The sequence below is a fragment of the Homo sapiens genome, chromosome 17, assembly GCF_000001405.40.
Source record: "Homo sapiens chromosome 17, GRCh38.p14 Primary Assembly".
NCBI classification, from domain to species: domain Eukaryota; kingdom Metazoa; phylum Chordata; class Mammalia; order Primates; family Hominidae; genus Homo; species Homo sapiens.
The window spans coordinates 65,641,449-65,666,575 of record NC_000017.11 but is presented as its reverse complement, the minus strand read 5'-3'; the positions used below and the strand labels follow the sequence as shown (position 1 = coordinate 65,666,575).

Sequence of the window (25,127 nt, the reverse complement as noted above, 5' to 3'; positions counted from 1 at the left end):
CCTACTTTGATGGCTTGCATCAATTAAGACATACAGCAAATAACTAAACTTTTTGTCTTTGTGTAAAGTTATTTTCTCTGGTGCTCCCTAAGTATTACCAAAGGCTTCACCCAGCACAAGGGACCAATGAACCCTAGATTACACCAGGGTCAGTCATCAGCAGATCGTCAGTAATGTTGGCTACTAAGTATGTGGGTGTCCCATGAGGTAGACATTGTATGAAAAAGGCCCCTACACTATGTAAAACAGAGAGCAGTTAAAGGTTGACCAGCAATGGAGAAGGTCCATTGAGGTTAAATAGCATGAATTTCTAGATGACCCTGTTGAAACAGCATGTGTGTGTTTTATTATTGTTGTTTACTTTCTGTAGCAACAGGCGGTAGCCTGGGGATAAAGCATGCAGGTGTCAGGGAGCTCCCAGAGTTCGGATTTGGCCCAAAAAACCTGGCAACATATGATTTTGTGTATAAATTGTAGGTTAAGTCACCAAGAGACTACACAAGGAAACTAACTCATTAATTCAGAAAGTAGGCAAGTTTTGAGTGATCAGAGTTGAAATGCAGATGAACAGTGAGGTAGGCAAGGTATTTGGAGATGTGGAAGTTGGTTTGGGAGCTGGGGCAGGTGTCAGTACCCAAAGCAATCCAGTCCAGCCAGTAGGGTGTGGCAGAGTTTAAATCGAGTGGCCCTTACTACCTTGCTGGGGGACTGCTGGGGCCAGCTCATAGGGTACAAAGTCTAGGTCCTTGGCAGGGAATCTCAGCCCCAGTCAAATAATTTATTAGAAATAATTGGTTGAAGAACAAATGGCTTAACCAATAAGAAGAATATGTTGCTTCATGTCAACTGAGAAGTAGCATTGGCTTCAGGGGAGGCTTAATCCAATAGCTCAAATTATGTGACCAAAAGCCAATTATTCTCTCTCCATTTTTTAACTCTGTTCCCTTATTGTTGGCTCCATTCTCCACAAATTGTCCTTTTCATGGTTGCAAGATACCTGCTATCAGTTCCTGAGCCTATGTTTCCAGGCTCATATCAGAAGAAAAGAGAAAGTTCTGTTCCACAGAACCTCGCGCAGTATCCTAGGCTTGTCTTTCATCTGCCCTGTGCTCTAATTCTAGCAGAGACCTAGAGCAGTAGGCAGGAGGGAATGGCAGAAACCCATGCATATGACCTGGGTTAATGAAGCACACCCTTGAGTTGGCCTTGAGGCCCCTGATACTGGGTCTGCAATAGCAAGAAGAATTCAGTTGTCTGCAGCTGATGGACTGAGGCTCTTAATGTACCTCCTGTCCTGACCTGCATTGTCTCAGCAGTTTGGTGTAGGGCTAGGCTTGCCAATGGAAAGGAGGCCAGTGACACAGCAAAGTGGGGGTGAAAAAAATCTCTGGTGTGGAAATAAAAGGCATTAAAATTGAGGTGGTGTTATGGGCTGAATGTTAATGCCTCTCACCCCGCCAAAATATTGAAGCTCTGAGCACCAGTGTGATGGTATCGGAGATGGGGCCTTTGGAAGGTAATTAGGTCATGAGAGTAGGGCCTTCATGGTGAGATTATTGCCCTTACAAAAAGAGACATAGGAGAAATATTGCACTGTCTCTGCCATGTGAGGATACAGTAAGGAGGCAGCCATCTGCAAGTCAGGAGGAGAGCCCTCACCTAAACCAGACCATGCTGGTACCCTGATCTTGGATTTCCCAGCCTCTAGAACTATGAGGAATAAATGTTTGTTGTTTAAGCCACCCAATCCACAGTGTTTTGTTATAGCAGCCTGAGCTGACTAAGACAAGTGGAAACCAGGAAACCAAAGGTAACAGAGATAGTTCAGTGGGGATGCTGTGTCCTTGATGGTGTTATCAGGATTGAGAGGAAGACTGCTGGAAACCTTGGCATTCATTGTCTTGGGCTCTACCTGCTGCATCGGTCACATCTTATAACTATTTCATCACCAAGTCATGTTATTTCTACCTCCAAAATGTCACTTTAGTTGTATTCATCATCTCCGTTCTCCCCATGGACATCTTTGACTCTTAATCACCTTGGATTTGGACAAAATGGTCTCTTCCTAGCTGCGTCACATCTGGGCAATCTTCCTAAAATACCATTGTCATCATGTTATTCCCCTGCTCAGAAAAACAACTGCCTCACACTCACTTATTGGATCTCTCTGCCAGACTTTTAAGTTCTCTTAAAACTTAATTAATGGACTATCCAATATTATTTCTAAGCATTCCCAAGCATCTCCTGTCAAGCCCTCAGCCAAGTGTGGGTGCTCAGCTCTCACACCAGCCACACTCATTTTCGCCTTGGCTCATGGTTTTTCCTTCACCTGGAATTTCCTTTTGCCAAACTTCTGCCTGTTCAGCTGCTACTCAGCTTTGGGAGCACAGCTCAAAACTCACCTCCCACAGACCTTCCCAAGCAATGCCATGGCCAAAGATCTTTTTCTTTCCCCAAATGTCTGTTATACTGAGTTTCCCTGTAGCTGGATGTATAATGTTTATTTTATTTTTTATTTATTTATTTTTTTGAGACAGAGTCTTGCTCTGTCGCCCAGGCTGGAGTGCAGTAGCACGATCTCGGCTCACTGCAAGCTCCGCCTCCCGGGTTCAGGCCATTCTCCTGCCTCAGCCTGCCGAGTAGCTGGGACTACAGGCGCACGCCACCACGCCTGGCTAAGTTTTTGTATTTTTGGTAGAAACAGGGTTTCACCGTGTTAGCCAAGATGGTCCCGATCTCCTGACCTCGTGATCTGCCCGCCTCGGCCTTGTATTATGTTTATAGGTTAATTTTGCTTCCCCCCAAAACTGTTACTTCCTTGAAGACAGGGTTTGATTCCTCCTTTGTGTTCTGCACAGAACAGAGGCTACTTCTGGTCAACTCTTAGGCATTCAGCATTGTTCAGGGAGGCAAAGGAGGAAGCTGGCATAAAATGCAGATGTCTAGTTCTGTGCTGGGTTGCAGGCTGGGTTTCCTAGGCAGCTCCACCATCCTAGCACTTTCTCACCTAACTACCCACCAGTCTCTACCATCCAATTGGCTCAGAATAGTTTAAGAAATATAGGGAGCTCCTACCTTCTACTGGCCGCCCCCCTTTTTCTCTCAGACTTCTTATGGTTGCCATATGTGATCCACAAACTAAGTTGAGCTATACCATGTGTAGACTAAAAAAATCTCAGGCAAGTCTCCTGAAAGTTCTCATTCCATCAAACATCTACTTTGCCATAAGGGACATTTAAAGTATATATTAACCTAAGTTTACAATACAACAACCCTTTTATTTCCAAAATTACTGGATATGACAAAGATCACAGAAGATTACTGGATATGACAAAGATCACATAAGCCACCTTTAGTACAGGGACTTGGTTTCACCTGTCTTAGTATTTTAAAGCTTCCTAAGGACATAAAGAAGCAAGATTAATTCAGTTCATCAAAATGAAGGAGAAAAAAAGAATTTTCTCAAAGCTGGATGAAAAAAGTTAACATCATACAAGATAAAATAGTACCCTTATCCCTAAAATCTTAGCCTTTCTGCTGCCAACATCAGTTTTAAATACGTGTTCAAGATAAAGAGAGGGAATGAAATTGTTATAGAGACCTAAGTTGCCAACTTGGGCACTCAAGCTACACAGAAAGATCCTTCAGATAGGAGCCTCTTATGGTTGGAAATAAAGCAAAAACACACCCTCTGGAACTCTATTTGAATAAGAAAAGATGCCCTTTCTGTTTGTTTTCACTTATAGATGAAGTTGGAATTTTCACCATAATGTGTTTTACCATGTGGGCCAATAAACATGAAGAGTGGCATTCATCGTAATATCCACACACGTTTAGGATTTTTTTTCTAATTGTAAATCGTGAATTTTTTCTGCCATTTGAAGTAAAGAAAAAAGCTGGCCCAATGAGGATACTGCGGCCCTCAGCCACCAGTGATTGTTGAGAGCTTTTTTCTTTGTCTTTTTACTCTTTACCATGAATTCTTTTCAGACATCATCAGAATATGATTTCTACATTTCAGTACATTTTTAATATTAAAGAAATGCCTTCAACGGAAAGAACAAAATCTTCCTGCTCTTTATTTGACCTTTTTTGGTTTGATGTGATTTAAAAAAAGATCTGGGCAACAGTTTTATAAAGAATGCACAGAGACATTCCTGAAAGAGCACACTAGTGAAAATAATCATGAAAAAAAGATTAGAAGATGCAGCCTCTTGCTCAATCTAACATGACTATTGCTCTCCCAGTACTGTTTCTTAAGGTTGCACTGGTTTTATCTAAGTCAGTAACAGTGTACTTATCTTTTTCATATTCTTATGTAAGTGTTTCTAACAGAAATTGTCCTTTCATGTATGTCTAAGTGGACCAAGCCAAGTTAATATTCATTACCACCAGGCTGGGCAACATGGTAAAACCCAGTCTCTACAAAAAATACAGAACTTAGTCAGGCGTGGTGGTGCCCACCTGTGGTCCCAGCTACTCAGGAGGCCGAGGTGGGAGGATCACCTGAGCCCATGAAGTTGAGGCTGCAGTGAGCCATGATTGCGTCACTGCACTCTAGCCTGGGTGACAGAGTGAGACCCTATCTCAAAAAAAATTTTTTAATAAATAAATAAACATATATATACACACACACACACACATATATATATTCATTACCAGTTTATCTGCTGTGTAAAAAAAATATAGATGTCAATCTCTCTTGAAAGATGGAAAATGAACTACTAACTGGCTGCCGTTTCTCCATCTCACCTAGAGCAGATGAAATGCCGATGAAGTGAGCCCAGGTCTACGTGGTTGTATATGATCTGCTTCATGCAAACTCCAGCCTACATAATAGGTTAGCAAAAATGTCTTTACATTGGCAAAAACAGTCCATGTAATGGTCTCAAACTTCAAAAGAATAATTATTTAATCTTATATACTTTTGAAATAACGTTGATCTCCGGTTCAACATAGAACTTACTCTCAGGGAACCCACAGTCTAATAGGAGAAAGCAGTGTGCAAATCAATAGTTATAATAGTATCTGATAATGAAGTACAAGCGGAGGCTCTCGGGTAAGGAAGACCTTGTACAGGTCCTGACTCAGGTACCAAGTAGCTGTGTGACTATGGATAAGCCTATTTCTTCTTATGTAAACAGCCATGAAAGTACCATATAGCATTCGTAGAAGATTAAATGAAATATAATATATGCAAAAGAGTACACTATGGTGCCTAATACATAGAAAACACCCCTTAAGTGTCAATCAGTAACTGTTAGATGAACATAATACCAAGGCATTTTAGTGGAAGGGTTGGTTACCGTGACTAGAAGGCTGTGGGAGGGTGTGGTGGAGAAGGTCCTATGTAAGAATGGAGAGTGGTTCTCTAGCCAGTTCAGAGGAAGGAAGGGCGCAGAGGAGCACAAAACAGCATGTGCAAAGGCATGAGTCACAACATGACATGGGACTTTTGGGGAAAATGCCAAGTCATTACTGGAGCACAAGGTCCTGGAAAATTAGTCTAAGACCATATGAGAAGGTTCTTAGATGATCCATGCAAAGGAGGTTGTCTTTAATCTACAGATGAAAGAAATCACAGAAGTGTTTTTATATGGGAGTGGGGTTGGGGTGAGATGATCAGATCTGCATTTTAGAGAAACATGCAACAGTGTGGAGAATCAGCTGGAGAAGGAAAAAACTAGAAGCAGGATGGTGACATTAGGTTTCTCTTCCTGTAACAGAAATCAAGGTATGGCCAGGCGGCGCTGTGGGAAGCCAAAGTGGGTGGATTGCTTGAGCTCACCTCAAGCAGGTAGATTGCCCAGCCTGGGCTGGGCAACATGGCAAAAACCTTGTTTCTACAAAAAAAAATACAAAAATTAGCAAGGCATGGTGGTACACGCCTGTAGTCCCAGCTACTTGGGAGGTTGAGGTGGGAGGATCACCTAAGACCAGAAGGTGGAGGCTGCAGTGAGCTGTGGTTGCATCACTGCTGTCCAACCTGGGCAACAGAGTGAGAACCTGTCTGAAAAAGAAACGAGAAGAAAAAAAGAGAAGAAAGGAAGAAGGGAAGAAGGAAGGAAGGAAGGAAGGAAGGAAGGAAGGAAGGAAGGAAGGAAGGAAGGAAGGAGAGAGAGAAGAGAGAGAGAGAAAGAAAGAAAGAAGGAGGGAGGGTGGGAGGGAGAAAGGAAGGGAGGGAGGGAGGAAGGAAGGAAGGAAGGGAGGGAGGGAGGAAGGAACGAGAGAGAAAAAGAAAGAAAGAGAAAGAAAGGAAGAAAGAAAGAGAGAAAAGAGAAGGAGGGAGGAAGGAAGGAAGGAGAAAAAGAAAAGAAAAAAGAAAGAAAACAAAAAAGAGGAAGGAAGGAGGGAGGGAGGGAAGGAAAGAAGGAAGGAAGGAAGGAAGGAAGGAAGGAGAAATCAAGGTATATTAGTCTCCAATCAGAAACCTTGAGTTAGTTTTTCCATTGTCTTCAGAATAAAGCCCAGGTACCTTGGCATAAGCTTCAAAGTCCTAACCACCTTGTCTCCACCTATCTCACTTATCCCCTGCCCACCCCATGACCTCCACCCATACTCTACCCTGTGACAGTCCCTAAGCATGCCACACACAGTCACCTCTATGCTTCCTGCCCTTTCCTCAGCTAGCAGTTTTTTCTTCCTCTCATCCATCTTGAAAGTTCCTACTCATTCTTCAATGTCCCAGTCAAATCTCATCACCTCTGTGATGGCCTCCATTATCCCACATAGGAGTTACTGATGTCTCCTGTTCCCTTCCTGGCCTATTATATGTCAGTTATGTATTTCTGAAGCTCCTTTTTACTTCTCGTGTAAAAAGTATAAGCTTTTTTCTTTCAGAAAGCCTAAAGGAAGTATTTTGATGACGTCACACTCCCTAAGTTTTAATTGAACAAAAAATTCTTTTCTCTCTGCTGTGTAAAGGTGAACAACTCCTGAATGGAGTCAGTGTTTACAATGGTGTTAAGAAATGTTCTGCTGTGAGGTTGTGGGGTCTCAGTTCCCTTTAGCTGGAAGGTGGGAGATTCATGCACAAAATCCTCATTAGCGTTCATCGAGCTGCCTAAGTAAATCCGGGGTGCACCGGTGGGACAACGGCTGCCTTTGTCTTCCTATTTTGTGTTTTGTATAGAATACCATATCTGGCAAGACATGCCTTCTCAAACATAAGGAGATAATTGGTACTTTGAGGGAGAGGTTTAGATTATTTATAATTGTCAAGAGTTTAAATATGCAGAAAAGAAAGAGCAGTCGTAGCTTGCCTCTTTTGAAAAATGCCCTCAAACCAGGTCAGAACTCTCTGTCTAAATCAGATATTTTGAACGATATTTAACTGAAGGTTAGATGTGGATCTTTTAAGTTTTGCTTTAAAATAGGAAACTATATGTTTATCAACAAATTAATTTCTTCTTAAACTCCCCTTATCTGTAGCACTGTTGATCACCAAAATCCGTCGTGATTAATCTGCTATCTAGACCATTCTATTTCCTATGCGGTGGTGATATTCAAGGCAGGGGATAGAAATGGTCTGATATTTTTTTTTTTTTTTTTTTTTTTTTTGAGACAGAGTCTCGCTCTGTCACCCAGGCTGGAGTGCAGTGGCGTGATCTTGGCTCACTGCAACTGAAATGGCCTGGTCTTCTGCTTATTTTCCTTGATCTTGGCAGCACCTAACACCTACTTTCCCTCCTTCCCTTGTGAAACCTAAAGGCTTGCTCCCCGCTCTCCTAACTTTCGTCTCATCTCTGGGGCCATTTCTGGTCATTCCCTGCTTCTGCTTCCTTCTTCTACATCCTAAATGTGGAAGTCCCTTATAGATGAGCCTTGGCTCCTGGGACATTCCTGTTCTCCCCTTTCCCCTTCAGAGAGCTCTTCCATTCCCGAGGCTACAGCTTCTTCTTCTGGCCTGTGATTCTTGGGCCTCTAGTCCTGCTTTTCTCCTGAGCTCTACTCGCATATTTCCTTATGAATGTTTCCTCTGCTCCTCAAACTAAGTAAATGCAAACCCCCAAACATACCTTGTGTCCTGCTTACACCCAGACCAACTCCCTGTACTGTACCCATTGCCTTGTCTCTGCAGGAACATCACCCTTCTTCTAGGCACATGGCTGAAGCATATATTCTCATACAACTCATCTCTTGCTTCTATTCTATGAGACAGGTAATTAATCAGCTTCTATTTTATGACCTTCCCATAGCCATCACCTCAGATCAGACTAGGAGTTCCTCACTTTCCTAGATCACTCCAGCAGCTCCCAGCTGCCCCCCTGAATCCCAGAATCTCCTCTCCTGAGATTCCATCACAATATTTCCAGATCAATCCTATTCCCTTCTCCACCTCCCAGTAATAAATGGGCACAGTACAGGCTTAGATGTCAGGTTTCAATCGTGGTTCTAGCAGTTACGCACTGTGTACCTGTTTCCTTCTCTATGGAGTGAGTAGATAATGTCTGTCTTCCAAATTGTATGTAAGAATTAAATAGAATCATCACAGTATGTAAAAGATTATGCAGCAATTGCTTAATACAGTATCTGGCACATATAAGGTGTTCATAATGTGGGGTTTTCTTTGCTTTTTCTATTTTTTACTACATTCAATCTAAATTTGTTGACATAACCTTTACTACCTTCCATAATTTCAAGGTGCCACCTACCTATTCAACAACAACTTTGTTCAGCCTTTTACTCATTAAAACAATATTTACTAAGCATTTGCTATGTGTCCAGTGCTCCAACCTTACTTCTATGTATAAATTGTAAATATCAGGGAGACTCCAAAACCCCCATCAGCCTCACTGAGTATCAGCCTTATTCTATAGGTTTTCTTGGGTCTTTTATTAACAAAGTCAGTTATAAACCTCAAGAGTCTCACCTACCCTTTGGTTGGGGTTTTGGTCCTTTGTTGATGAAAACTACCTTTTTTAGGAAGTCCAGCCCCAACCAAAAAGGCCTAGTCACCCTCTTTCTGAGAGGAAAGTCAGACATTGTAAACAGAAGTGAAAAACACCCTATCCCTCCCCCAGGTTTTCCCCAAACGCTTTCAGGGATGTACCTTGCAACATAGAGAAGGTGCTTCCTTCCAACTTGTTTAAACTTGGTCCTCCAAATATTCACGTTCTTCAACATGTACCTGTCCAGACTTTCCACATTCAGCCTTTCTCATCCCATGCCTGTAGAATTGCTGTACTGCTCAAACTGCTTTAGGACCTGTACCAGCTCTTCTTTAAAAGAATGGAGTATTCATAGTATATATCAACCTAAGGAAAGAAAAAATATTAGGAATGTTATTATTAACAAGAAAAACATTAGAAATGAGACCAAAATTATATATTCTAGCAAGAAAGGAGCTGGCATTTGGTTTTAGAAGAAAAGAGGCATGAGTCATTGACTATCTCAACCATATATAAAAAGTCTGATAGTGAGTAAACTGGAGAAGCACAGAGGAGGAAAGAGCATGATGAAACCAACTCCCCTCCTTCGGGGTGAATCTCTAAGATCCTCTTTGATCTCAGCAGCCCCGTAGGCCCTGGTGTTTGCCTCCGACTTTCTCAGCTTTGAAGCCAGCCTACTTATTAATAGCCACTGTGCTGATTAAGAACTGCAATACTGAGATGACAGAATCTTCTCTTTGTCTTTAGGGAGAGCATGTGTGATGAGTTTACTGTAGACATTCCGAAGACCTTGTCATTTTGAGACAAAGACTGACTTAACACCAAAGGTTGTAAGCTCTGTGTGATTCGTTCATTCATCAGCAAATATTTATTGTATTGAGTTGCTACCATATGCCAGGCACCATGCTAAATGCTGAGGCCATAGCAGTCAGCAAAATGAACACAGTCCCTACCTAGTGGAGCTTGGTCTAGTCACAGGGGTCAGCCAACTTTCTATAAAGGGCCAGATAACAAATGTTTCAGGGCTTTGTGAGCTATAAGGTCTCTGTCAAGACTACTCAATACTGCCATTGTCATGAGAAAGCAATCACAGACAATAAGTAAACAAATGAGCATGGCTGTGTTCCAGTAAAACTTTATTTACAAAAACAAGCAGTGTCCCAAATTTGGTCTGCAGGCTGAAGTTTGTTGACCCCTGGTCTAACAGATGCAACACGCATAAATGTAAGTGAATATTTTGCATATTCTATGTTGTTTCAATTCAGACCGTTTGGGTTGCAAGTGACAGAAAATCTAACCCAAACTGAAAAATCCAAAGACAGGGCTAACTCTAGGTACAGATTGATAAAGGGCTTAGTTTATTTTTCTCCACTTCTCAATTCTTCCCCTGGATTGCCAAAACCCTCAGTTCACTTCTTACTCTGTGGTAGCAAGATGGTTGTCACAATTCCAGAATGACATCAATGGGGAAAGTCCAGTGGATGAGAGAGTCTGCATCCTTTGACTGTCAGTGACTCTGGTTACCTGGACTTGGATCATGTTACCAGGCCCTCAATAGTTATGGCTCCAGATAATGCGACGTGATGATTGCCTTAGGGTCCCGTCACATACTCTACCCCTGACCCTTGGGTGGGTCAGAGAATGGGAGAGGGGTAGATTCCAGTTACCAGAAAACTGGTGAATAATGCTGGAGTAAATGCTGGAATGAATGCTGCTGAATAAAATCTCCGCTACATGTGTCTTGAGAAATTCTAAATGAGTACCTCCCAAGGCCACATTTATTAATAGGAGCTCTGTAATATGGTTTTAGCTTTTCCATCTCCATCAGGAAGTAAAGGGTATTGCTTATATGCAAAATACTGTCCAAAATTTTAATATTCACATGTGTTTATTTTACATCACAACCTCAATCTTTTTTTTTTCCTGTTACCAGTATTTTTATTCAGTTTAGCTTATGCCAGAATATAAATACATAACAATATGTCCTTTCTTGTAATGGGTAGTCTTTTACATAACTAAAATTTGTGGCTAGCAGTTTATATAACAAAAGAAAAGCTAAATCTGTAAATTATCAGAAAAGAAGCAAGGATAAAGGAAAATAATACATTTTACATGAATTATAAAGGACAGTTACAATGAAAATCCATTACTTTCCTCTCAACCCAATTTTACAAAATAAAGTCAACATGTATTATTCTGTGAGCTGCTAAGAGTACATAAACACTGTGGCCCATTCAAAAGACAGCAGTCAAAGACAAAATGTTATCTTCATGTCATGTACTGTTCTTAGTTCTTTACTGGAGTTGAGCTTCCTTTCGTAGTCTTCTTTAGGTGGTGGTAATTTGGCAAGATTTTCATCGAGAAATCCAGCTGTAGTGTCTGAGGCTGCGGTCGCTCAGCCTGCACCCAACAAAGGCAGTCTGCACCATAGATCACCGTATTCTCCGGGATGACTTCAAAAGTGTTTAGGTTGCAACAAGCGCCAGTGAGACAGCCACTTGTCAATATTAGATTTCTGCCTACATACACTTTTAATTCAATGACATTATTATCTCCCATCTCCATGGCTTGGGAATGACGCCAACTTTAAACACATTATTGGTGCCAATGATCATAGGTTTTGGTTCTGGATCTCCAGTGTCAAGAGTGATACTATCCGAGGAAGCATTTATGATAAGGGCCTGTTCTTCTATCAGGTTCCCTTTGCCAATCACTATTGGCCCGGCTTCCGCAATAATTTGTGCTTTAGGATGGATCGCTGTCCGAGTTCCTCTTCTGAGTCTTTGCTGCCATGGTACGACCCCAGTGACAACCTCAATCTTATTCAGAATTTAAGTCTTTGATTCATGAACAAATTCAGACAGTTTATTAGTAATTTTCTGGCCTTTGACTATGTTATCCATTTTCTGTCTTTCCTCTGTGTGTGAATCCTTAGAGGCAGACTTACCAGACCTTTGTTTTCTTTTTGGTGTCAGAGAATCTTTTGAACTACCTGAAGCTGGATTTAGAGCACCTAAACCTAATTAAAGTGCTAGGTTTGAACCATTCACTCATGCTAAAGCCACCTTTTTCTCCACAGGATCAGAAAATGGTCCTGAAAATATAACCCTTTCCAGAAACTAGTTCATGCCACCTTCAAACAACAGAGGTCGGCAACTGCTTCCTGCACCAGCCACCCGCTTGCCTTGGAGTCCCAGGCCTGTTAAGCAGCAGGCTTCACTCCCTTGCGGTGGAACGGTTCCTATGAACAGGGAATGGAGGACTCCTATTGCGCTGCACGCTTAGTTTGAGAGGACGCCAGTTAGAATAAAGAAAGTGAAGAGGAAATGATATTGAAGAAAGGCGGGAAATGAATATTTTTAAGATTGTTAAGAAAATTGCAGTTATTTCTACATTTTCACTTTATACTTCAGAATCAAAGTACATGAGCTCTGCAGCAGAGCACCTTTCTTAAAACGGATTTTTCTTGGCAGTTGCTGTGGCAACACATGATACTTTAACCCCAATAAGAATGGAATTTCTTAGAAGGCGGTACATTTTCTCACCTGTACTACAGCATTTTTTTGGCATCATCTTTTACTACTATTTCTTTCATTCCTATTCTTTTTTTTTTTTTTTTTTTTTTTTTGATGGAGTCTTGCTCTGGTTGCCAGGCTAGAGTACAGTGGCGCAATCTCGGCTTACTGCAACCTCTGTCTCCTGGGTTCAAGCAATTCTCCTGCCTCAGCCTCCCAAGCAGCTGGGACTACAGGTGCGCACCACCACGCCCGGCTAATTTTTGTATTTTTCGTAGAGATGGGTTTTCACCATGTTGGCCAGGCTGGTCTTGACCTCCTGACCTTGTGGTCTGCCCGCCTCTGGCTCCCAAAGTGCTGGGATTACAGGCATGAGCCACGTGCCCAGCCCTCATTCTTATTCTTGAAACCAAAATATACTCATTCCCCTAAAAAGCCTATGCAAAAACGTTTGGCTGCATAAAGGCCCATCCCTCAGAAACATCCTCCACATTCCTGTTTATGTTACATCTGATCCCTCCCAGCAAGCCTTCCTGTGCCCAGCTCCTGCCCACCTCCTCTGGCCCTTCGCCACCCTTCAGAAGCCCTGTGTCTTTTTGCTGCACTCTTCTTACACCAGATGGCCAATTGCAGTGCCTGCCCTTGTCCACCCTCCCTCAGAGTACACGCCATGCTCCAAAGTCACCTCTTTTTCTCCCTCCCCTCCTCCTGCCCCCTTCAATCTACCCACCAGTCAAACTCACTTTACTTAACACATTCTGCTAAGCCAGACATTCAAAGAACAGTTTCTGAATAATCCACAAGGAGTAGAAGTATATGTTATTTTCCCTTAATCCTCCTATGTATTGGTGGAAATCCAGATGGAAAGAGAGTTTTGAGCTGAGATCCTTCCCTTAAATTAAGTCATTTACAATAAAGCAATGGTTCCCCACCTGTGGACCAGAGTTATTGACAAGGATCTGAGAAAATTCATATGCACACTGCTATACAATGAATGTTTGTGTCCCCTCCCAAATTCATATGTTGAATCCCTAATCCCCAATGTGATGGTATTCGGAGGTGGCCTTTGGGAGGTAATTAGATCTAGATGAGGTCATGAGGGTAGGTCCCCCATAATGAGATGAATGTCTTTATAAAAAGAGGAAGAGAGACCAGAGCGCATCAAGGAAAGGCCATATGGGGAGGTCCACATACACATTGCTGTAAACTGGAAGCAGGAAGAGAGCCCTTTCCAAGAACCTGGCCATGTTGGCACCCTGATCTTGGACTTTCAGCCTCCAGAACTGTGAGAAATATATGCTTATTGATTAATCTGCTCAATCTATGGTATTTGTTATAGCAGCCCAAACTAAGACACTCACTAGCCATTGTTGGTATCCTGGATAAACAGGCACTACTGTTTTTCAAATATATATAGATTGTTTTGAATTATAAAATATAAATTCATTTAAAATTGATTCTGGATTCATAGGAGCTTTTGGTAAGGTACTTTCTCAATCCACAGATACTAAAAAATACAAAAACATTTCAATGGAGTCCTCAATCATTAATTTATGCAAATAACTTGCTATAAGGATTTCTAATGTTGCAAATAATTAGAAATAGCAATAAAGTCTAATGATAGAGAATTGGCTAAATGGAATATATATATAAATGTAATTCATGCTATATACATAATATAATGAAATATATATAATAAAAATCTCCATTAAGTCATATAATGATAACTAATGTTTATTGAACATCTATTATGTGCAACTTATAAAAATTTTGCAGGTGTTAAATCATCTAATCTTCACGGTGGCCTTGAAAAGTTATTTTCCTGATAAGAAAACTGAGGCACAGAGAAGTTACTCTTTCTGGGAGCACACAGATTAGGGGCACAACTCAGACCCAACTCCAGATACCCCAGTTTCAGTATCTGGGCTCTTAATCCCTACACTTTATTAAATCAAAAGATTACAAAAGAGTCTGTCCTTTTCTACTAGATGGCTCTATTAGCTCATATTACCAGGCACCCCCTCAGCTCCAAACACTCTACAATGATTGATAAAATATAAAAAGAGATCACATTGTGGTTTTGATTTGCATTTTCCTGATCATTAGTGATGTTGAGCATTTTTTGCCATTTGTATAACACCTTACACTCTCAAGAATGGCCATAATCAGCTGGGCGCAGTGGCTCATGCCTGTTATCCCAGCACTTTGGGAGGCCAAGGCAGGCGGATCACCTGAGGTCAGGAGTTGGAGACCAGCCTGGCGAACATGGTGAAACCCTATCTCTACTAAAAATACAAAAATTAGCTGGGTGTAGTGGTGGTGCATGCCTTAATCCCAGCTACTCAGGAGGCTGAGGCAGGAGAATCACTTGAACCTGGGAGGTGGAGTTTGTAGTGAGCTGAGACCATGACACTGCACTTCTGCCTGGGTGACAGAGTGAGACTTGACAAGAAAGAAAGAAAAGAAAGGAAGGAAGGAAGGAAAGAAGGAAGGAAGGAAGGAAGGAGAAAGAAAGAGAAAGAAAGAGAGGAAGGAAGGAATGACCATAATCAAAAAATCAAAAAATAATAGATTTTGGTGTGGATGCAATGAAAAGGGAACACTTCTGCACTGCTGTTGGGAATGTAAACTAGTACAACCACTATGGAAAACAGTGTGGATATTTCTTAAAGAAGAGAGAGTAGAACTATCACTTGATCCAGCAATCCCACTACTGGGTATCTACCCAGAGGAAAAGAAGTCATTAAATGAAAAAGATACTTGCACACACATGTTTATGGCAGCACAATTCACAAGGGGTGCATAAACGTGGAACCAACCCAGATGTCCATCAATCAATGAGTGGATAAAGAAACTGTGGTCTATATGCAATAGAATACTACTCAGCCATAAAAAGGAATGAATTAATGGCATTCACAGCACCCTGAATGGAGTTGGAGACTATTACTCTAAGTGAAGTAACTCAGGGATGGAAAACTAAACACCATATGTTCTCACTCGTAAGTGGGAGCTAAGCTATGAGGATACAAAGGAATAAGAATGACACAATGGACTTTGGGGACTCAGGGAGAAAGGGTGGGAAGGGGGCGAGGAATAAAAGACTATACACTGGGTTCAGTGTACACTGCTCAGGTGATGGTTTGCACCAAATTTTCCCAAATCACCACTAAAGAACTTACCCATGTAACCAAATACCACCTGTTCCCCAAAAACCTTATGGAAATAAAATATATATATACATAAAAAATATATAGAGAAAGAGAGAAAAAAAAGAGAGCGAGAGAGAGAATTAGAAAGATGGATTTGTTTTCTTGGCTCACTGCAACCTCCGCCTCCTGGGTTCAAGCGATTCTCCTGCGTCAGCCTCCCTGAGTAGCTGGGACTACAGGCACTCACCACCATGCCCAGCTAATTTTTTTTTTTTTTTTTTTTTTTTTTTAGTAGAGAGTTTTCACCATGTTGGCTAGGCTGGTCTTGAACTCTTGACCTCAGGTGATCTGCCCACCTTGGCCTCCCAAAGTGCTGGGATTACAGGCATGAGCCACCGCTCCTGGCCAGTATTTGGTATTAAAAGCAAGACGAACATCTCTGTGATGTAGAAACAGAGCAGAACCCAAGTGGTGAGTGAGGCCACAGCCTCCAGGTACTGAGCCCAGCAGCAAGCAGAGGCAGCTGGGAGGAAACGTGTTAGGGATGACAGGGGCTAAAAATGCTAGAAGTGCTCCTTGCCAGGAAAGTGCTAGGAGCCTGGGTTGCAGCTTGAAAGCAAGGGCTGGTGTGGGGCCCGTTTTTGCTAATGAAGCTCATGCCTGCCACACTCAGGGCTATATGGCTTGTCTAAAGGGGAGTCAGTTGGCCCCAACACAGCCTCATCATGAAGGTCTGGCCAAGCTCCCTCCCCCTGGGTGCCTAGATCTGCACCCTCCCTGACATCACCACAGAGCAGGGGCCCCCAACATCCAGATGTCCAGATGGACACAGTGGCAAAACCCCACACAACAAGAAAGAAGAATTAGAGAAAAAACAAGAACCATCCTGTTGTGAGAAAAAGCACAGGGCATTGGTGAATGAATTGGAAGAAAGCAAACATGTCTGGTATTCCAGAGGCCAGGTGACTCTCTGGAGTTGCAGGAGGTTAGCAGGTGGATAGGGCCAGACAGTACAGGGCCTTGTTGGCCATATACAGGATATTAATTTTGATCTTAAAAGTTAAGCAAATTCTGCTTGAAAAGCAAAACCAACATACCAATATTGCAGTCATCCAGGTGCAAGATGAATGTATTGAATGTATTCTGGATTGGGATGGTACCAGTGGCAAAGTGGAAAGAGATTAAGGAGATAACATCCATAGAATTTTTACTTAGTTCCCCTTTTTCTCTGCTGAACTGCCCCCAGAAATGCTTGTTGGGCTTTGTAAAGTAATATTGGGCACACTTTTTTTTTTTTTTTTTTGAGACAGGGTCTTATTCAGTTGCCTAGGCTGGGTGCAGTGGCACAAACATAGCTCACTGAAGCCTGGATCTCCTGGACTCAAGTGACCCTCCCACCTCAGACTCTCAAGTAGCTGGGACCGCAGATGCATGCCACCACGCCCAGCTAATTTTTTTTTATTTTTAGTAGAAATGAGGTCTCATTATGTTGCCCAGGCTGGTCTTGAACTCTTGAGTTCAAGCAATACTCCTGCCTCAGCCTCCCAAAGTGCTGGGATTAGAGGCATGAGCCACCACACCTGGCCTCATGCACACTTATTTTCCTGAACTGCTTCACCCTTACTTCAAAATATGATAATAAAGGACTATGCAGAGACATATAAACCACCACTGTAGCATAAACCAGTGGCAATGGAATAGGAGGTTCCTCTTTTCTCAGCTCCTCAAAAGACAATTCCGTGTTAGGCACATTGGAGCTTGCAATAAAATAACTTGCATTTGAGGCCTGTGCCTAAGCTGATTGCACAGAGCTGCACATTTCCATCTTAGTTTTTGTTTTATTATAAACCAGTTGACATATTTGACATGGTTTTGACATATTGACATGATTGGTTGATACAGTGTGTGTGTGTGTGTGTGTGTGTGTGTGTGTGTGTGTGTGTGTGTTTGTTTGTTTGTTTGTTTGTTTTGAGACAGACTCTCACTCTGTTGCCCAGGCTAGAGTGCAGTGGCACGATGTTGGCTCACTGCAACCTCCACGTCCTGGCTTCAAGCGATTCTTCTGCCTCAGCCTCCCGAGTAGCTGGGATTACAGGCGCCTGCCACCATGCCTGGCTAATTTTTGTATTTTTAGTGGAGATGGGGTTTCGCCATGTTGGCTAGGCTGGTCTTGAACTCCTGACCTCAGGTGATCCACCCACCTCGGCCTCCCAGAGTGCTGGGATTACAGGCATGAGCCAGTCCACCCGGTCAATGTGGTGTTTTTTGAATAAAAACATCATAAAATATGTTTTAGTTCTCCCTTCGCTATTTTTAATGAAATTATAGATTTTCAAGGCTCCTTTTTTCCAATGTCACTTTGAATTTTTATCTCTACGGACCCTTTGGCTCAAGTCAACTGCACATTCCATACACCTTATAGTCTATTATTTATGCAAATGATCATTTGTCTGATTACCCTTGATTTCAGTTCTACTTGATTGGAACATGAAACTCTAGTTAGGGATGGTCTTGGTCTTCACAGTTCACTTTAAAAGTTAAGGGAATCATAGTGTCAGTGCCGTGCCTTGGAGGGAAAAGTGGGCAGTCTATTGCCATGGAGCAGGGCACAGCCCTTTAGTCACATGGGCACCATGTTATAAAGACCCCATTTCCACTCAGCTTACAGGAGTCATTACTAGTTATAGAAATGTCATTATCACAATGTCCTGAGTGAGTTTCCTAATTTTATTTTGCTAAAGGAAGGAAGATGAAGGAAGGTAGAGAGAGAAGTAACCGTGGTGGAGAGAGGGAAGCCCCTCTCTTTGGTGCGATGTGGTTGAGGGATGTGGAAGAGCACGTGATTATCCACAGTGCTTTTTGAGGATGATGGGAATGGAGAGAGGATGGAAATGAACCACAGCAGACCAGCCTTTGAATACCTTCGTGTTTAATAGACATCACTCACTGGTATAATAGGACACTTTATGCTAATGAATTTAATATTCAAATATAATAATAAAATACATGTATGAGTAAAAATTTTGATCTTGAATCAAAGGAATTTTGTGTCCATCAAACCCATTGCTTAACTCCACTCAACCTCATCTTGCTTCATGGTCTGTTGTAAGGCCAGATTGTTTCATAGTCAAGCAGTTCCAAGTTCATGAATAGTCCACAGGTAAAAGTTCTCATTCTCTCATTGTTTCCCCTTAAACACAGCCTGGGTCAGAGGTGGGGATAGAAAAGCAGTAGCAAAAGCCAGGCATGGTGGCTTATGCCTATCATCTTAGCACTTTGGGAGGCCGAGGCATGAGGATCACTTGAGCCCAGGAGTTTGAGACCAGCCTAGGCAACATAGTGAGAAACTATCCATATGGGGAAAAAAAAAAAAAAAATTAGCTGGGCATGGTGGCACGCACCTGTAGTCCCAGCTACTCGGGAGGCTGAGGCAGGAGGATCACTTGAGCCTCGGGAGGTTGAGGCTGCAATAAGCTGTGATTGTGCCATGGCACTCCAGCCTAGATAACAGAGCAAGACCCTGTCTCTTGAAAAAAAAAAAAAAAAAAGGCCGGGCACAGTGGCTTATGCCTGTAATCCCAGTACTTTGGGAGGCCAAGGTGGGTGGATCACCTGAGATCGAGAGTTCGAGACCAGACTGACCAACATGGAGAAACCCCATCTCTACTAAAAATACAAAATTAGCCAGGAATGGTGGTGCATGCCTATAATCCCAGCTACTCGGGAGGCTGAGGCAGGAGAATCGCTTGAACCCAGGAGGCGGAGGTTGCGCTGAGCCGAGATCGCGCCATTGCACTCCAGCCTGGGCAACAAAAGCAAAACTCTGTCTCAAAAAAAAAAAAAAAAACAAGAATCAAGAGTGATATATAGGAATATAAACTAATTATTTCCTTTTCTTTTGTCATTTTGCCATGTGACAAATTTACATGTATCCTTCACTGGTTGGATTTTTGAATATGTGCTTCTTTGGGGAATTTGTGAAACTTTTATTTTAGGTCAGACATATACGTTGCATTTGTGTAGGTTTTCTTCAGTTGGTCGTATATAAATCTGTAGTAAGCTAAAATTTTAAAATCAATGGGAAGGCGTGGGGAGTCCTCTGGAACCAGTTGTTGTTGTCATTGTTATTGTTGTCACATTTTTAAAAAGATCGCTGACTAGATGGATGTCTGGAAGCACTGCAGTTCAACGCCCCATCCCCTGGCCCTGGCCCCTGTTGTGCTGGGGAAAGCACTAGAGCGTGGTAGCAAAGACTCCTCTAACCCACGTGTCTCTGGCATTCTCTTCCCCCTGGGGTGGAAAAATCAGCTCAGCATTTAGAAGGATTATTTGAGAAACTGTAGAGCAAAGTGGACAATCATATGTGCTTGAGAGTCAGACTACCTGAGTTCAAATCATGTTTTACCTCTCTATGCTTCCCTCATTGGGTCATCAGAAGGATTAAGTCCATATAAAAACATGGAGAGTCACACCTGGCACACAGAAAGTCCTCAGTAAATGTTTGCTCGTGATAATTTTATTAACCTCATAAATAGAATGAAAACAGATTGGTTAAAGTTTTTCATGACTTTATTGAAGTAACAGGATTCAGCTTTACATAATGATTTTTAAATTGAGCATTTGAGTTTAAGAATTCAGGGTAGTAATATTTTCCCAGTTGACAGTCTCACTCACACATGAGGTAATTTCATATTTTCCAGAGGCTTATTTTAAATTCATTCAAACTCACTAAAATCACAAAAACTAAGAATAAAGGAGTAGACAGGAAGTATAAATGCACGAATCTTCAATAAATGTTGGAAAATATAACTTCTGAATTTGAAAAGTGATGGAAGGAATAATGGCGATCAAAGAGCAACCTTAGTCACACCCAATCTTCTACTCTCTATGGCCTAGCCTCCTACTAGAGAGAAACCATCACATGTGAATAGTGGGCAGGGCAGGAGGAAGGAGAGTCAAGAGAAACCAACCATAAGCGTGAACCAAAGGGCTTAAGTACTTGGCCGTGACCTCCAAAGTACTTGAAAACTGAGGGACATAGGCCCCCAGAGCAAATGAAATCATAGATTTGGTCAAAGTGTAATGAAGACGACAAAACCAAAGCATAGCTGTGGCCTGACCCCAGCTGCCCCCACCACACCTCAACTCTCAGCAAATAGCTGGTTCCATTCAAAAAGGAGGTGTAATTTTTCTTTTAGAAAAAGGAACTAGCATATGATCTTTGCTGGATTAAAAGAGAGGAGAAGAAAGAATGTAAGCAAATACTGTTCTGTATATCAAATGGAAAATTACAGGAGGAAGGTTCAGACTAATTACAGTTCTTTATAACAGCTCTTCACAGTGTCAAAGCATTCACAAAACACATTTAAACATCTCTCTCACAAGGAAAATGGTGGAGGGAGATAGAGAAATAGAAAAAAGAAGAGACATATCTAAAGATGATATAAGTCAACAGACAGATGAAAAGTGATCTCTCAGAGCTTAGGAAAAATGGTAGACAAAAGCAAAAGATTACAGAGATTGAAACCATAGTAGATGAAACAAAAATAGAAAAATCATAACTAAAACCATCCAAGGAAATATAGTAATTAGGCTAGAGGCTATTATACAAAATGAAATGAAAATATAAAATAGATATAAAACGATAAGAAGAGTTTGGTGCAGTGATGCATGCACGTAATTCCAACTACTCAGGAGGCTGAGGCAGGAAGATTGGTTGAGTCCAGGAGTTGGAGACCAGCCTGGGCAACATAGCAAGACCCTGTCTCAAAATAAAATGATATGAAAATAAAAGTAATAATAGATAAAATGTATAATTATGGGAGATTGTCAAAGAAGGGTCAACACATGCAAAGTTTGTGTCTCTGAAGAAGAGAACCAACAGAAAAAAATACATATAAGTATATATATATAATAAAATACAAGTAATTATTCTAACAAAGGAAACTTCTGTTCAAATAATGCAATGTAAAGGTAGAAAGGGCACACAATGTCTCAGGAAAATTAATATAAAATAATTAGTATCAAAGCATTTCCCAGTGAAGTTACTAAATGAAGGAAAAAGAAAATCATAGCATCCAAGCAGAAAAAGAAAGTTATATTCAACATGAAAAAAATCAGATTGGCCTCAGACTTTACCATGGCAATATGTAATGCCAGAAAACACTGGAGAAATGTTCTGAGGGGCTCAAGTAATCCTCCTACTTCAGCCTCCCAAGTAGTTGGGACTACAGGTGCACACCACCATGCCTAGCTAACTTGATCTTTGTGTTCACAAAGTTATGAGAGAAAGAAAGTGGGATTGAAGCATTTTTATACCCAGCAAAGTTGTCTTTTAAATATGCAGGCAATGGATAGACTTTTTTGTTTTTCTACTGTGAATATACTTTATAATTTGTGTTTACAATTGAAATTCTGGAAAGTCAAAATCAACGTCTTTGCCCATGAGCTCCTTATAGACATCAGAAAAAGTTTTGACCTTGTGTTCCATATTGTTCTGCTGTGCTTTGTCCAAATTAACCTGTATGAGCTGGCTGCCATCCAGTTTCACGTGAGAAGACCGAATCCTCAAGGACTGCATTATAAATGCAACCGAGCTAAGCCTTGAGGTCCGAGTTCATCTCCAGCTTCAGAAGACCCTGGAAAATGCCAGACTTGAACTTGTCCGGCTTCTCACCATTGGGCTTCACCATCTTGGCACTCAAATGGAACATGGCCTTCTTGCCGAGTGCCAGCTTAGGAAAACAGATAGACATTCTAAACAGATAAGGATGTAAGAAACAGTTCATGCCCCAGTTCCCCCAGCTATGGCCACTTTCTGGTCCCCAACGCAACCATAGCTGAAGAACAACTGCAAGTTGAATTGTTCGTGAAGGCTGGCAGTGATGGGGCCAAGATTGGGAACTGCCCCTTCTAGAGACTGTTCATGGTGCTGTGGCTCAAGGGAGTCACCTTCAATGTCACCATCATTGACACCAAGAGGCAGACCAAGATAGTGCAAAAGCTGTGCCCAGGAGGGCAGCTCCCATTCCTGCTGTATGGCATGGAAGAACACAAGGACACCAACAAGATTGAGGAATTTCTGTAGGCAGTGCTGTGCCCTCCTAGGTACCCCAAGCTGGCAGCTCTGAACCCTGAATCCAACACAGCTGAGCAGGACATATTTGCCAAATTTTCTGCTTACATCAAGAATTCAAACCCAGTAGTCAATGACAATCTGGAGAAGGGACTCCTGAAAGCCCTGAAGGTTTTAGACAATCACTTGATATCCTGCCACTCAGAAGAAGTGGATGAAACCAGTGCTGAAGATGAAGGCATCTCTCAGAGGAAGTTTCTGGATGGCAATGAGCTCACCCTGGCTGACTGCAACCTGTTGCTAACGCTCCACATAGTACAAGTGGTGTGTAAGAAGTACCAGGGGGCCCGGGTGTCATGGCTCACGCCTGTAATCCCAACACTTTGGGAGGCCGAGGCAGGCAGATCACTTGAGGTCAAGAGTTCAAGACCAGCCTAGCCTACAAGGTGAAACTCCATCTCTACTAAAAAAAAAAAAAAAATTAGCCAGGTGTGGTGGTGCGTGCTTGTAATCCCAGCTACTCAGGAGGCTGAGGCAAGAGAATAGCTGGAACCTGGGAGGCAGAGGTTGCAGTGAGCCAAGATCATGCCACTGCACTACAGCCTGGGCGACAGATTGAAATGCCATCTCAAAAGAAAAAAAAAATACCAGGGATTCACCATCCCTGAGGCCTTCCAGGGCGTGCAGCAGTACTTGAGCAATGCCTATGCTCAGGAAGAATCTGCCTCCACCTGTCCAGATGATGAGATCAAGCTCACCTATGAGCAAGGATCCAAGGCCCTCCAATAAGCCCCTCTTGGGACTCCTTCAGCCCCCTCCATTTTCTCCACAAAGGCCCTGGTGGTTTCCACATTGCTACCCAAAGGACACACTCCAGAATGGCCAGTGGGCAGGGAATCCTGGAGCACTTGTCCCGGGATGGTGTGGTGGAAGAGGGGATAAGGGAAAGAAATAGGGAGCCTGGATGAGATTTTTACTGTGGGGTGGGATGGGTAGGACAACATATTTCAGTAGTAAAATACAGAATAAAATTTGTTTAAAAAGGAAATAGCGCATGCATGAGTTGTTTTTAAAAGAGTTGAAACTCAAACTTTCAGAACCAGTGTTGAGTGATAGAAAAAAAAATAGTCAATATATAACCCATGAACCCTCAATAAATGTTACCCTGAGGTCTGGTTTATAAAGCATGCGTTTTGCTTTGCATTTTTCCTTCATTTGAATCAGCTAACTGACTCAAGTAAGTGAGTAGCTGGAACTGGCTCACTTGGAGGTAAGCTGAAGAAGAGAAGGTGAGAAAAATCAGTAGACAGGAGAATCAACAGATATTTCATCAGCAAAGACTTTGCATCTGTGGGAGAGATCATGTTTTATTATTTCTTTTTTTCCTTTAGGTATAAGTCACAGGATTATAACATATCCCAAAAAAAGCACTTTGCCAAAAATTGAAAATTTATGTTCTATAACAGTGGCCACAGGATTTTAGTAGGTAATGAAATGAATTGTTAAGCACATTTTTTCCTTAATTCAGTTTAGTGTAAGAAAAGTTCGGTCTTAAAGACTGTTAATTTTAAATTGTCTTCAGCAAATTGATAGGCTTATCCAACTCAACTCAGTCGTACACAATTTTCATAGTATATTGCCTATTTCCAGGTGCGTATGATGAATCACTTGGTATGATACACTGCAACTCAGCTTTAATGTTTGGTTAAGTCATGCACAGCACATGCAACAGATTTTTAAAATAATTAATTCTATCCTATTTCACAGTAGGTGGAAGAGAAATGCAGAAACACAGCTGGAAAAAGACACCAATATCTACACATGCATATTCACGCCTCATCCATGCACATCTTCATCCTGCTCAGGCATATTCTTCCAAAGGCTTTTCTTCTACCCTCTCACTCACTCCTTTAGCCTTGAGAGAGATGAATGGGATGAGCCACCAACCTATTTTTTTTACTAGCCCAGTGAGCATCAGTTAGTTAAACACAGGCCCGATAGTATTTGGGAGGCAGAAAGAAACCAGGAACCAGGAACCTTCCTATGCCCAGTGCACTCTACCTGTCTACTTGTGTCAAAGAGGGTCGGAGACACAGCTATGCAGATTCTCCTTCATTCATGTCTTCATGATTATATGAATCACATTTAGTGCCCCAACTACCTGACAGTTTGGAGGAGTAGGGATTTTTGGGGGTTTTGGTGGAAAAAGTCTTACTCTGTCACCCAGACTGGAGTGCAGTGGCCCGATCTTGGCTCACTGCAGCCTTGATCTCCTGGGCTCAAAGGATCCTCCCACCTCAGCCTCCCAGGTAGCTGAAACTACAATTGTGCACCACCATGCCCAGCTAATTTTTATATATTTTTAGAGATGCCCAGGCTGGTCTCAAACTCCTGGGCTCAAGTGATCTGCCCACCTCAGCCTCCCAAAGTGCTGGGACTACAGGCGTGAGCCACCACCCCCTCAAGGAGTATTTTCATCAAAGCAGAGACATGCTAT

General features: G+C 42.1%; 1 protein-coding gene and 2 pseudogenes across 19 annotated transcripts in view, besides 1 other annotated feature; 2 read left to right on the top strand and 1 right to left on the bottom strand.

Moving 5' to 3' along the window:
• The window catches only part of CEP112 (centrosomal protein 112), a 556,597-nt gene that overhangs the window by 525,558 nt on the left and 5,912 nt on the right, over positions 1-25,127 (top strand). The window contains exon 25 of one of the 19 annotated variants that reach the window (XR_007065281.1): positions 4,762-4,840. The exons of 17 other annotated variants lie outside the window; for them this stretch is intronic. Coding sequence is in view for 1 of the 2 variants with exons in the window: in XM_047435527.1 (XP_047291483.1) it covers positions 4,757-4,765 (9 nt within the window). In the remaining variant the exon portion in view is untranslated. Of the gene's footprint in view, positions 1-4,756; positions 4,841-25,127 lie in introns of those variants that run through there. One more of the 19 variants, XM_047435527.1, reaches the window with a different exon arrangement.
• LOC107984971 (dynactin subunit 6-like) lies at positions 8,477-14,569 on the bottom strand (annotated as a pseudogene).
• Positions 9,471-9,520: an enhancer, noted in NCBI's record as "active region_12612". NCBI's record gives its function as "activates an Ori minimal core promoter by ATAC-STARR-seq in GM12878 lymphoblastoid cells {active_cell/tissue: GM12878}" and the evidence as "EXISTENCE:reporter gene assay evidence [ECO:0000049][PMID:35858748]".
• LOC100420638 (chloride intracellular channel 1 pseudogene) lies at positions 22,346-23,616 on the top strand (annotated as a pseudogene).